The sequence below is a fragment of the Homo sapiens genome, chromosome 1 (genome assembly GCF_000001405.40).
Source record: "Homo sapiens chromosome 1, GRCh38.p14 Primary Assembly".
In the NCBI taxonomy this organism is placed as follows: Eukaryota; Metazoa; Chordata; class Mammalia; order Primates; family Hominidae; genus Homo; species Homo sapiens.
The window spans coordinates 19,364,669-19,378,488 of record NC_000001.11 but is presented as its reverse complement, the minus strand read 5'-3'; the positions used below and the strand labels follow the sequence as shown (position 1 = coordinate 19,378,488).

General features: G+C 51.4%; 1 protein-coding gene across 12 annotated transcripts in view, besides 2 other annotated features; it reads left to right on the top strand.

The window, feature by feature from the left end:
* CAPZB (capping actin protein of muscle Z-line subunit beta) overlaps positions 1–13,820 on the top strand; it is a 146,765-nt gene that overhangs the window by 107,051 nt on the left and 25,894 nt on the right. For 2 of the 12 annotated variants that reach the window (NM_001313932.2, XM_017002429.3), the window contains exon 5: positions 4,034–4,314. The exons of 9 other annotated variants lie outside the window; for them this stretch is intronic. In NM_001313932.2, coding sequence (NP_001300861.1) covers positions 4,034–4,043 — 10 coding nt within the window. In that variant the 3' untranslated portion in view covers positions 4,044–4,314. Of the gene's footprint in view, positions 1–2,152; positions 2,167–4,033; positions 4,315–13,820 lie in introns of those variants that run through there. One more of the 12 variants, XM_017002430.3, reaches the window with a different exon arrangement.
* Positions 6,681–6,850: an enhancer, noted in NCBI's record as "experimental_1534 CRE fragment used in MPRA reporter constructs". NCBI's record gives its function as "activates a minimal promoter by MPRAs in K562 erythroleukemia cells, with activity observed for both the introgressed and non-introgressed 1:19698218 variant alleles {active_cell/tissue: K562}" and the evidence as "EXISTENCE:reporter gene assay evidence [ECO:0000049][PMID:34662402]".
* Positions 7,750–8,442: an enhancer, noted in NCBI's record as "H3K27ac-H3K4me1 hESC enhancer chr1:19696541-19697233 (GRCh37/hg19 assembly coordinates)". NCBI's record gives its function as "activates a minimal SCP1, AML or CMV promoter by ChIP-STARR-seq in primed H9 embryonic stem cells {active_cell/tissue: H9 hESC(primed)}" and the evidence as "EXISTENCE:reporter gene assay evidence [ECO:0000049][PMID:30033119]".

The following is a 13,820-nucleotide window of genomic DNA, read 5'->3' as shown; positions in this document are numbered from 1 at the left end:
AATCCTAAGTGGCAGTGTTCTATCTGGAATCTGTTACCTGGCCAAGCATTCTCCCTTGAATCTGTTACCCGGCCAAGCATTCTCCCTTGAATCTGTTACCTGGCTCACCTAACTAAAATTGGGAGCCTCCCATAGCAGGATGCAGGGCACTCGTTTGGTGGTTGGGTTGGTTATGAGATGACTCGGTCATAGAATGCTACCAGACTTCACTATGTGCTGTTCCCCTGCATCGTGATTCATAATAACAGCAGGTGCCACTGGTACAGTGCCTACTGTGTATAAGAAACAGTGCCAGGTATTTCTACATAGCATCTCAAATCCTCACAAACATAGCTAGTTTAGTCCTCGTTTCTCAGATTAAGAAATTAAGACACAGATTAAAGTATTTGTCCACAGCAAGGGGTAGAGCCAGGAATTAAAGTCAGACCTGTTTATCTCCAAAGGCCCGTATGGATTTTTTTGCCATACCACACGCTCACTTCTGACCTGGAGCTCAGGGGCCTCTGCCTCCAGCTGCTCTCAGGCCAAGATAAGTGCAGTCCTTACAGAGCAGGAGCAGAGCAGCAAACATCTTCCTGAATCCTGAGTTGTTTGTGGCCTCGGCACCTTCCTTAAAAAGCGTTTTGCTAGATCTGTTGAGATTTCTTCCTGCTCCGTCTAATCCTGCCTCCCAGCACCACAGCACCAACATGTCACTTAATTGTTCAGGCTTACAAGGAAGGGCTCCAGAGAAAGTTAGCCATAATCAACAGAATCTCATTTATAATTAAGCTCTATACTGAAAATACAGCAAAACTGTAAAATAGGCAATACTAATTCAAGTTGGCAGACTTTTTTCTGTCAAGAACCAGATCCTAAACGTTTTAGGCTTTGCAGGCCACATAAGGTCTCTGTTGCTGCTTCTTGGTTTGTTTTCTGTTGAACCTTTAAAATGTAAAATTCACCTCTTGAGCTTTGAGGTGGGTGGGGCTTGGCCCCCAGTCTGTAGTTCTATTATATACGAATATTTTATATACATTATCTTTACTCCTTAACAAGAACCTCTGGGGAAGATGGTTTTGTTCCTCCTTTTACAAATGAGACCAAGGTTCCAAGAGGTTAAATGACTCACACAAGACCACAGGACATGGAGGTGAAAAGCTAGAATTTGAACCCATATTTATCTGAAATTCCCACAAATTGTTGATTTTCACAGTTAAAATAGGCTTCAGTCTTTTAAAGGTTCTTACATCTAGAACTTTGTCCTATTGTAGAATAGTTCCTTCCCCAGTGATACTGAAAAGCTGACTCATTGCTCTATGGTAGTTTACTTGTAATTGTTTTTTACTATCTTCTTTTACCTGCCCATTTGGTAAGAAGCCAATCCAGCTATTAAACAAGAATGCCCAAGTAGAATTGGTTTAATATTAAAGTGATAATACTGGTAATAAAATAACGATGGTGATGATAACAGTTACCAGTGGCCATGCAAGTGGGCCTCCAGGTATTCTCTGTCTCATTCGGTCTTCACAAGAACCCATGAGAGAGGGTTATCCCCCTCTTACAAACGAGCTGACAGATCAGAAAGGTGATATAACTTACCCAGGTTCACAGAGCTAGTAAGTGGTGGAACTGGGATATCAAACCATCCTTACCCAGCTCCAGAGTCCAACATCGATTTATTTACTCAGCAGACATTTGAGTGCCTCCCATGAGCCGGGTGCTTGCTGAGTACCAGGGATGCACCTCGTACGTGGTAGATGAGGCCCCTGCCCTCACCACACTCCATTGTGGAAAAACAAACAGTGGACCAGTGAACAAGTCATTGCTGCTAGTGATAACAGGGAGCAGCTGACTTGTTATGTAGAGTGGCCCATGAGGCCTCTTGAGGAGACACTTGACTGAGGTCTGACATTGAGGAAGCCAGCCAGGCAGGGGGGCTGGTTGTGCCAGGGTCTCTGAGGCAGGGGCAAACTCACCTGTCTAAGGCCCTGAGACTGGTGCCCCTTAATGTGCACACACAGCTGTCAACCAGCAAGTGCACACCCTCAGCCTCTTTTAAATTGGAAGTCAATTTGAAAGAGATTTGGGCAAAATTGGCCCCTTTTATATGTAAGCTTCTTGGGAGCCATCTCAGGATACTCCAGGAATACAGCCTGCCCTTTCAGCTAAGTTTGAAGGTGGAAGTGGAAAGTTCCCCCTTGAAAGTGTTTGCTAGATTTTCCCCCAGCTTGGGGAGCTAACGTGCCATGCGTGTCATCCCCTAAGCCTGAGGAAGTTGCCTGGCCTCACCCCTTCTGTTCTATGAGGAGGCTGTACTCTGGCTTATTACTGGGCTGCATGTTGAGATATGGAGGTGGGGGTGATTCTGATTCTTTATGAGACTTAAGTGTTCATGTTGTTACTCCCTTAATAAAGTGAATCAGATGTGTTGCCTTACTTCGCCATTTAGGGCCAGCCTTGGGGAAGAGCCCAGTTTCATCTTGGACTTCTGCTTCCCTTGTTCTCCCTTCCCATCTCATCGTTCACATATGTAATGATACATGGTGTATGGTTCTGCAGGGGCTTTTATGGCCTGTTATCATGAGAATTTCCCTACTATCATTAAAACTCTTCAGAATAATCACTGAATCCTTACAGTGACTATAGGACAAGTGGGAGTTATTCCATTTGGCAGCTGATGAAGCTGAGGCTCAGATAAGTACTCAAGCTGGTTAACACAGCTAGAAAACCACAGGAGCCGGGAGTCATAGCTAAGGCCTCACTCTTCACGCTGCCTCTGGTGAAGCCTTTCCCTTCCCTGGGAAATGTGTATTTGTAAGGTGGCTTTTGATTTCTGTGTGCCTTTGACTTGCCTACACACTCCTCTCTGAAGGTAAACTGACTCGGGGGAGTTGAAAGAGGGGTGACGACAGCATCCTGCCCCCAGTTGGGGGTCGAACTGGATAACCCAGACCCCGAGGGTCTGCAACAGTGTGTAGTGGGATCCAGGCTGGTGCCGTTCTGTTCCCAGCACCTCGGGAGGAAGGAGGAGAGTGGCCCCGCAGGAGAGGCAGGAGGCCCTTCCTTACCTTGCATGTGCAGGGGCAGTGGGGCCAGGCTCTTCCTGGGTGACAGGGACCGCAGACCACCAAAGGGACAGCAGTTGGAGCTGCCATCCGGGATACCAGAGGCATGAATTTTGACTCACCCAGTGCCATCGGAGTGTGCTGAAGAGCTCTCTCTCCTGGGACCACATGCGAGGAACGTTTTCCCAGCTGAACCACATGTGACGAACCAACCCATTTATAGTCTAAAAATTATGAGAACAAGTCTCTTTTTTTTCTTTTTTAAAAACATCTTGGTACATTGTGGTACATTGCTCATCTCCAGAAGTTCCCATTCCCAGAGTGCCCCGCGAGGCTGTTGGTGGCCACATAAGTGACCACAGCAGGCCCTGGAATGCAAGCTCTTTTCCCCGTGGCTTTGGAGCAGAGGGGAGTCAGCTGGGTGGCCTTGTCTCCTGAGGGGCATTGGCCAGGGTCACACTCGGTTTTCTAGGGACCAGGCTGTTCCATGGGGTGGAGAGGCAGTAGGCCATCCCTTTCTCTTCATCTTTTATCTAGCCCTTCCCCATACAAACACTTTCTCACAGAAAGACTTGTTTGTTGTCCCCTGAGCAAGGCCACAGCTCTCCCACCTATCTTCTGTTCAGGTTGGCAGATGGGTTCAGGCAAGGGTCATTCTGAGAGGAGACCTCCACCCAATGCTCCCGTCTGCTGGCTTGGTCACCCTGAGCTGCTGCCTGAGGGGCCAGGAAAGTGGCTGGTGTCCCCGGCCTGTGAGAGATGGCCAGAGCCTCAGCCAGACCCACCCTGCCAGGAGAAAAGGGGAGTGGCCGGAGAAGCCACCCCTTGAGAGCAGGCTGGGCTCGCCCTTGTGCCCAGGAGGGCTGCACAGGTGCAGCTGCCACTTTCAGACCACACACTTCAAGCTAGAGCTTGGCCTGCGCCCCTGGTGGTTGGGGGTTGGAAGAGCAGACTGTGTTGACAGGGTCTTTAATTCACGATTCCAGGTGCTTCTGAATTGTTGGATCCTGATGAATCGCAATCAGGACTATGTTTGGCTTGAGCTCCAGCCTCATGACCACCAACCCCATCGAATGACTGAGAGCTGCCAGGCTCCTGCCACGTTGGAGCTCAGAATCCTCCCGTGGGGACACTGTGCTGCAGCCAGCCTCCAGGGAGCCGCTTGTTTTATGGCCTAAAAAGTCTCTTTATGCTGAGAAGGTCACACTGGACTTTGCTCACACAGAGATTTGACCCAAGAAAAGGAATAAAGAGGCCTTGGATACCCTGTCTTGCCCCTGTTCCTGCCCCCGCCGTACCCTGCTGGCTCATGCCAGAAGACTGGACTTGCTGTCTGTGGGCATGTTTGTTGTCGGCTGACGTAGCACCCACAGGCACTGGCCGTGTGTGTGCCACAGTCAGGAACGAGGTGCCTGCCCCCCACCCATTAACCCATTAGCTTTGTCCTTACTCCTTGAGGCCCTGCTTGAAAAGATTAGTGGTGCTTTGGGAGGCTGAGGCAGGAGGATTGCTTGAGGCCGGGAGCTCGAGACCAGCCTGGGCGACATAGCAAGACCCTGTACCTCCAAAAAATAAAATATAAACATTAGTCAGGCATAGAGGCACACACACACATAGGCCTAGCTACTCAGCTGAGGTAGGAGGATTGCTTGAGCCCAGGAGTTCAAGGTTACAGTGAGCTATAGTCATGCCATCATACACTCAGCCTGGGTGACAGAGTGAGTCCTTGTCTCTGGAAAAAAAAAAAAGAAAACTAAAAAATAAAAAATATGTGAAAGGAGACATTGGTAAAGAGATAGGCTTGAGGGTCCAGAGACCTAGAGCATGATCCAGGCAGCCCACGGGCCACACCAGCCTCCTCAGATAGCAGAACTTACCGTCTCCCCAGAGGCTCCCTCTGCCACCGGAGAGAAAAATCTTCTTCACTGGATCCTGAGGGAAAGACGTAGATTCTGTCTTCAGGCTCTGGGCTTTGATCCCTGGCTCTGTAAAGGCTCTGACTTTGTAGGGAGTTGGATTTAATCATAAGCACATGGAATCAATGTCAGAATGATGGAGCTGGGCCAGGGGACGGGTTGACCAGCAGGCCTTTCTGGCTTGTAACTCCTTGGAGATGTGGCAGCCCCTCTCCCCTGTGGATTGAAAGGGCTAGCAGTTGGGAGCGTGACTCCTTAAGGTGGGCAAAAGGCGAGTAGGGGTGCAGGGGGCTGAGCCGTGTGTCCTCACGGCTCCCTCTGAAGTCCACTAGCTCCTGGCTTGCCCTGCCTCTGCTGGGTCCCTGCGGCATTCTCACGTCCAGGTCCCTTCCATGCTGATGATTCCCTTCTCTGCCATCCTCAGGGGCAGAAAGAGATCATAGTAGTACTTTCCCTAGGAGAGTAACTGTCACTACCCAAACAGCCTTGTTTTTAGATGAAAAGAGCCAGTTTGCGCAAATGCTTAGGAGATGACAAGCACATTTTGCTGGTGTGCTGGGGCCAGGTGAGGGTATTATCTGCTCGCAAGTCACCTTCATTTTCATCACTTCCCCTCCCAGCCAGCCCACCCACCTGGTCCCCAACATCTAGGCTATTCTCTCTACCAAGCCCCAAGATGGTTTTCTGCCTGTAATTGATGGGCCTGACTCATCCAGGGGATGTCACGAGAACTGAGCACTGAGGCAGAGGGGAAGACAGCCGAGCGGGCCGACTCCTGGGCAGCTGGCTCGGAGGATCATTTGACACTCTTTCTCAGCAGAGCCGACTCTGCTTTCTTAGGTCCAAGCCTAGGCTAGCTCATCAGTCACAAAACCTCATCTTTTGACCTAAGTGATCTTTCTTGGGAGAGACTTAGAAGTGGAGACTTTGCTGTAGGTCAGGCACCAGCAGCTGTCAGAGGAACATCTTGCTGGTGTGAGCGACCAGTGGGCTGCCATGAACCCCAAGATTAACACTTTGATTTTTCAGGTTCCTGGAGAAGATAGGAAACCTTCCCTGCTCCAGCTTTCACATCAAGTCTGGCCCTGGCCTGTGTCGGCCCCGGGTTCTGCCTGGGACCAGATGTTCTGACCAAAGGGCTGGCACTGCCTTCTTCCAAAGATGATTACTCCCATCTGCGCCAGACATCTCGCCCAATGCTCTGAAGTCCTTGGCTCTTGGCTTGGAGCAGATAATACCTTCAAACATGCGGTTGCAATTTATTGGCCTTATAAGTTAATTTTAGTGGGTGTGCAATTGATTGAAATCAAAGCCTAATGAAGGCCAGAGTCTGGGGAGTGGAGGAGCAGGGTGGGAGGGTATTTTGTGTTCTTCCTTGCTTCAGTTCTGAGATAATCTTCAAAAGCTTTAATTAGCTTTTCCAATCAGCCCTCCTTGTCTGGAAGAAGTTTATAGAGTGAAACAAGGCTGGCGTCCTCATGGCAGTCCCAGGGCCCAAGGGCCTCTCCAGGAGTGGAGCAGCCAGGAGCTGGGTGGATGGGCCCCACCCCCCGGCCTGGGCTCCCCAGCACCTGTCCCCTCTCTGGGCCATTTCAGAACTGCAGTTGTTCCTGCTCCTTCCCGCCATTTGATGTTTGAGGAACATTGGCCCAGGAAGGGCAGGATGTCCATGTTCACATGTGAGAAATGTTTGCACCTGATTTCCGGGGTCCTTGAAACTGCAGGTTCCCAGCCCCAGACCCCTCAGGGCACCCCTTCCTCGGGACGTGAGTGTGGAGGAACTGCAGGCGGTAGGGGGAGATTTTCCAGGGAAAGAGTGCAGAAGTGTGAGCGGGCAGCTGAGGTGCTGGGGGGCTTCCCAGGCAGAAGGCACCACCACCTCCCACCAAAAGCCTCTGACCCTCACCCATGGCGTCTGAGGCCCAGCCACGGAATGGAGAGGACCTTGGCTTTAAAGAGCTTTGGACTGGATTCTCTCTTTGTCTTTTCTTGCTGACTGACTGGGCGAGTGAGTTAACCTCTCTGAGCCTCCGTTTCCTTACCCATGCTGTGGGCTGAGGCGTCACTCAGTGACACACTGTGCGTCAGACCCCTGCTGCACTCACGCCTTGCGTCCAGCCAGCACCTTCCAGGCTGCTGGGTGACAGGGCTCTTCTAATTGTGCAGCAGGTATCTGTACGTGCATCTTACATTCTGTACCTGCATCTTACATTCTGTGCGTTTATGATCACAGATACGGGACCATTTGGGTGGCGGACCTGATGGGGTAGCAGGCTTCGTGATCATGCGAGAAGGCCGTAGTTTCGGGATGGGGCTCTTCCACCACCTCCCACAGCAAGGCCTCCAGGAAATCTCTGTCTCAAAAATGGAATTAATGATTCCTGCTCAATCCACATCATCAGGGTGTAGTGAGGCTGAACAGAGATGCTGGTAGTGCCCGTCTGCAGTGACTGGAGAGAGAATCCTTGGGATCGGTCACCAGGTCCTTAATGAGAACCTGCCGGGGATGGTGTCATGTGCCCAGGGTCAGTGGCAAATGTGTCAGGCCCAGTCCCTCCCTCATGGGGCCCATGTTTCAACACAGGAACAAGTCAGCAGATGAACACAGTACTTGCACAGTTTGATAAACGCTGCAAAGGAATGAGAGCTGGGTCCTGCGGTGGGGAAGAGCAAAGGGTGTGGATGTTAGGGAAGGCTCTGAGGAAGGAACTGTGGGTCGGTTACAGGGGGGTTGCCCTTGAGTGGAAAGGGCTAACAGAGCTGGCCTGAGACTGCTGTCCCTCGGAGGCATGCTTGCCAGCTTGGCCCGCGGCTGGCAGCTGGGAACTTGGGTTTCAGGAGGGCTCTTACCACTCCCTGATAAGAGTGACTTCCGACGTCTGAACTGTGTGCAAACAGTGTGGCCTTCCTTCTCCTTTCCTTGTGGGCATCTGAAATTTCACCATGTGCTAGGTAGAGGGTGCTTAGTAGTACAGCCCTGGGCACTGAGTCCCTGGCTTGCTTCACCAGTAGACAGTACTTCACACATGCCGTCAAGCCCATCCCTGGGGGAGTGTATCACGTCCTGTGTGACGTCATGGAGCAGGACGTTGAAAGCTGGTGCCTGGTTTCTCAGGACCCCAGCCCCAGCGCCTTCTCCCTCAGCCTCCTTTGCTCTGTTCCCTTCAATAACCCTTGGCCCCGAGGGCAACTTTGTGCCACATTCCGTGAGTCCTTGTAGCGAATTATGGAGCCTCGGGTGGTCTGGGGATCCCGGGCACAGCCCTGTACTGTGATGGGAGAGGACAAGGACAGTGCCCTGAGCAGTGGGAACCGCCTGGGCCACGCCCTGAAGGGATTCCCAGTGGTCGTGGGCAGTGAGTGGAGGCCGGAACAGGACAGGGCAGTGGGGAGAGGCGCACAGGCCTGTGGGGTGCGGGCTCTGGGTGTCATTCTGGGAGCCTTGGGAAAGGTCTGGAAGGTTCCAAGGGTAGGACAGCTCTGATGTGCATCCAAAGAAGTTCCTCGGAAGTAGTGTGGAGGCTGGATTGGAGAGGCCAGGAGCAGGAAGGGCCTGACAGCTCAGCTAGAGTGGAGGGCTGCTTCCTTTGCTCTGGCTGAGTGAACTCTGCAGTTCCAGGTGCCCCGGGGGCTTTTTCCACCGCTGGAAACGGCCAGGCCTGCGGACTCAGAGCCCCACTGGGAGGTGGGCAGAGTAAGGGGAGTAACGGAGAATGCTTAAGAACATCCTGGAGCTGCAGGGACGGTTTGGTTGGGGACATCCCCCTTCACTCCCTGTCCCTTCAGCGAGGTCTGTGTTCTCATTTCCTTGCCTAGAGGTAGGACCTTTCCCCAGATGTAAAGGCCTCCAGAGGGATCCCGTGACGGGCACCGCTTGCCACTCATCTTGCACTCGGGACAGCAGGGTGGAGCCAGGCCGTCTCTGGCTTCTGGCATGTCCACAGTGTAATTAGCACTTGGGTTTGAACATGTTTGTGTCTTCAGCCATGTGCGCACAGGGCCTCTGAGAACCCGCCCTGCCTGCTGTGGGACACCGGCTTGCCACTGCCTGGGGCTTGTGAGAAAGTGCCAGAAGCACTTAATGGGGAAACCCAAGCCCACCTCTATTGTGTTGTTTTCACAGAGCAGAGAGAAAGGTCTGGAGAAACCTCACAGCTTTGGAGGGGTACAGCTGAGCCTGCTTCCTGCTCTCGCAGTGCGTTTCAGCTCTTTCGTGACCACTGCTCCTAGTGGGGGTGTCTGCTACAGTTATCAAGTCCCTAAAGAGTGGATCTAGACAGGCTTGCATGTTGCCCCCTGTCCTGGGGTTCCCTTTCATCTGGCATCCCAAGGCTGCAGGCCAGTGTCTGGTTGCTTGGCATGTGCAGTCTGATTTTCATCTGCTGAAAGAAAGTTAAATGGAAAACAGGAGTGTGCAGAAAACAAGTTTGCTTATGAACATGATCCCCACGTCAGCATCAGGGACTCTGATGCCTCTAGAATTCTTGGGTTCCTCTAACCAGATGGCACACAGTCACTCTTTGGTTTGGGCCGTTGCACATGTTGGAGTGAAACTCTGCTGCTGGAAGCAGGGACCAGCTCCCTCCCTTGGTCAAGCTCCCCCATCCTGCCAGAGACCCTGCACTCCCCTCACTGAGATGTTTCCGAGGCTTCTGTGATGGAAAACTGCTTTGTGCAAGTATCAAGAATAGGTGCGGTGGGGCACAGTGGCTCACACCTGTAATCTCAGTGTCTGGGGGCTGAGGTGGGAGCATCACTTGAGCCCAGAAGGTGGAGGCTGCAGTGAACTATGGTCCCACCACCACACTTCTGCCTGGGTGACAGAGAGAGACCCCATGTCTAATTAAAAAAAAAAAAAAAAAAGGCATTCTTGCAGTGACCCAGCCAGCAGCCCCAGCTGCCTCAGTGAGGCAGAGAACCCTCCAAAATCCCCAGTACAGGGTGCTCGGGGCATGTCCCGGATTCCTGGTCACCCAGCGGGTTCCTTTTTTAACTCGGACTCTCTCCACCGTTTTTTTTTTTTTTTTTTTCCAAGAAAAAAAATGGAGACGGGGGCTCTCACTCTGTTGCCCAGGCTGGTCTCAAACTCCTGGCCTCAAGTGATCCTCCCATCTTGGCCTCCCAAAGTGCTGGGGATTACAGGCATGAGCCACTGCACTTGGCCTGACTTTCTCCTCTTTGGGGCAGCTGTGTGTTCAGTGGTGTGGCTTCATACGGGCATCTAACCTACTGGCTGACCCTGTTCTGTCCGCCTGCGCTCCATCCCACCACAGCTGGCACGTCTCAGGATGGCCAGGCAGCCTGGCATGGGGCAGAATATGGGCACTGGGGCCAGCCAAGCCTGACATCTACTCCCAGATCCCTGCTTCTCAGCCTGTGACTTGGGCACGTTCCTTATCTCTCTGGGTTACAGTTTTCTTAACTGTAAAAAAAAGATATGCAAAGCCCCTGACACAGAATGAGTTCTCAACAATGGCAGCTTTGGATGAGAGTGATGACTTGGAAGCCCAGAAAGCCCTGACTGTTGACGGCTCATGAGGTAGCTCCATGGGGCCAGCAGTGTTTTCACAAGTAGTCCAGAGGGCAGAAGACAGTCGCAGTGGTGCCAAGTGTGGACAGTTTGGCCAGATCCCAAAACCAGATCCCAGAGCCAGATAGCCGGCCCCTGCAGCGGCACCATTGTTTCCAGAGAGGCCTTCATTATTTCTTTAAGTAAAAAAATAAAAGCCTCGTAAAAGCGAGACACTAAAGCGCGGCAGCCACAGTCCAGATGTGCCTTCTAAGTGCAGCTGGCATTAAAGTCGCACATGCCTAAGCTGATTGGTATGTTGACTCGGGGGATTGTTGCACCTGTGTGTACTGGAAGGAATTTCCGCTGAATACCTGTCCCGTGTCCATGGGCAGCCTCTGGGCCGTGTTCCCTAAACCATGGTGAAAACAGCTGGTCTCAACACACAAACAAGGGTGGTTGAGTTTCAGCATCAGCTCTGGACATGGCCCGCCCAAAGCCAAGCATTGATCTTTCTCCATTTTGTGTGGAGCCTGTGCCAGTGGGTACGGAACCGCTCCCAGTAAGCGGCACTTTGTGTTTCTGACGGACACTTCCAGGGCAGCTCACAACACGTCGAGGTTGCCTTCTCCTCCCCTCTGTTCAGAAAGTAAGAGCCTGATGAAAACCAGCAGCCACCACTTGTTGAGTGCTTGCTCTGCCAGGTGCCATGGCAAGTGCTTGCCCGTTCATTTTTTTCTTGTGATCTTCCTTATATCTCCTCATGCTTGTTTGCCAGATGCATCTTGAGTGCAGGCTGGTATAACCAGTGTAAGGAAGAGAACCCACACTCTCCAGCCCCTCGTGTGCCGTCTGCAGCTCTCTGGACTTTGCAACATTGTGCCCACTGGGCAGCACCCACGCCCATCCATTGGACAGGGGATGCGCTCAGCTTCTTTTTGAAGTTGGCTAGATGGCAGCCAGCAGAGCAAAAAGGAACGTTGGTCTACACCACGAGGAAGGGAGCCAGGTTTTGGATGCCCCTCTGAGCAGAATGGACAGTTTTCTCTTTTTCCTGAGGTGGAGTTGGATTGTTCCCACCTGTGAAGACCAGGTGCCTGTTTTGTTGTAAGGATGTTAAGGATGATCAGAAAAACAAACTACTGCTGATAGCTGGGGATTTTAGTTTCTTTTTTACCCTAGGAGGGAACAAAAAGGCATTGTTTTAGGGCCAGAACCTCAGCTGCCGGGGAATGGCTCTGCCTCTGGGTTTTATTCTCTTCCTCTTTGCCATAAAATCAGTCATGGAGCTTGGGAGTTTCTGTTTGTTTGTTGTTGTTGTTTCTTTTGAGATGGAGTCTCGCTCTTTTTGCTCAGGCTGGAGTGCAGTGGCGCCATCTCAAGGCACTATAACCTCTGCCTCCCGGGTTCAAGCAATTCTCCTGTCTCAGCCTCCTGAGTAACTGGGATTACAAGCACCTGCCACCATGCCTGGCTAATTTTTGTATTTTTAGTAGAAATGGGATTCACCATGCTGGCCAGGCTGGTTTCGAACTCCTGACCTCAGGTGATCTGCCGGCCTCGGCTTCCCAAAGTGCCGGGATTATAGGCATGAGCCACCGCACCCGGCCAGGAGTTTGTTTGAACTCATGCCTGTATGACCTTGTCTTTGTCATGACCAAGCACCAGTACAGCAAAAAGTGTCCCTCATGACCATTTATTTTATTTATATATATATATATATATATATATATTTTAAGACACGGTCTCACTATGTTGCCCAGGCTGGTCTTGAACTCCTGGAGTCAAGTGATCCCCCCACCTTGGCCTCCCAAAGTGCTGGGATTATAGGCGTGAGCCACCATGCCTGACCTAAGACCACTTATTTGTCCCAAGTCTTGCTGCTACTCCTTGGTGAGATCCCAGAAGCAGAACACACCATACATGTGACGGGAGAACATAGGGTAGGAGAAGAAAGACTCGTGGAATCTTACATGTTGGAGCTGTTTGAGGGCCCAGGTTCCTAGCTTAGCACCAGATCATAGAGGAATTCTGCTTTTTTCAGTTACATCAACACTTCAAATTTTTTAGCCTGAGCTCTTCAGCCGGCATTCCAGCCAGCCCCACCTCCTGTGTTCCCTTCTACTTCTGCCTCATCAAGGCTGTGGGCGTTTCCATCTTTTCTTTTTCTTTTTTTCTTTTTGAGACGGAGTTTCACTCTTGTTACTCAGGCTGGAGTGCAATGGCATGATCTCGGCTCACCGCAACCTCTGCCTCCCGGGTTCAAGCGATTCTCCTGCCTCAGCCTCCCAAGTCGCTGGGATTACAGGCATGCACCACCACGCCCGACTAATTTTGTGTGTTTTTTTAATAGAGACGGGGCTTCTCCATGTGGGTCAGGCTGGTCTCGAACTCCTGACCTCAGGTGATCTGCCCGTCTCGGCCTCCCTAAATGCTGGGATTACAGGCGTGAGCCACCATGCCCGGCCTGGTTTCCATCTTTATACTGACTCCAACATGAAAAAAGTGCCCAGACCAGAGCCCTCCTTCCTGGTGGACCATCAGTTTCTCCACAGAAGCCTTCACTAGGGCTGCCCGTGCTCTTTCTGGAAATCCACGCGATCTGGAACTCAGTGACATCCTCATTTGCACAGTCTCCTGCTTTCACGTATATTCCTGTGCATAAAGACTTCGGGGGAAGAGTGGCTTGGATAGAATACAGATCACAACAGCTTCGGGATCCCAAAAGAGACGTTGAAATGTTGAAGCCATGTCTACGAGAGTGATCTGTCACAGATTTGAGTGGAAAGTGATATTCTTGGGTCCAGTCTACCAAGTTCTCAAGTCCAGGATGTGAGAGGTATTTTCATGGCAACACATAAGAAAAAATATTCAGCTGTACACGGTGACTTATGCCTATAATCCCAGCACTTTGGGAGGCCGAGGTGGGAAGATTACTTGAGCCCAGGAGTTCAAGACCTGCCTGAGCATAGCGAGACCCTGTCTCTACAAAAAAATTTAAAATTACCCAGGTGTGGTGGCATGCACCTGTAGTCCCAGCTACTCAGGAGGCTGAGGTGGGAGGATCACTTGAGCCCAGAATGTCGAGGCTGCAATGAGCCATGGTCATGCCATTGCACTCCAACCTGGGCAAGAGAACGAGACCCTGTCTCAAAAAAAGAGAGAAAAAAAAAAAGAAAAAATACTCCATTTGAGATGACTGCAAGTTCAGTATGTGTAGCATGGATTAGGTGTGATTGCTAATGAAAGCTAATTTGGTCTTGAGTGCTGGAGGGAGGAGTAGCCTGTTTGCCAAGAGATGTGCTGGTCCCTGCTATGCATTGGTTAACACTTAGTTGGGGCATTGTT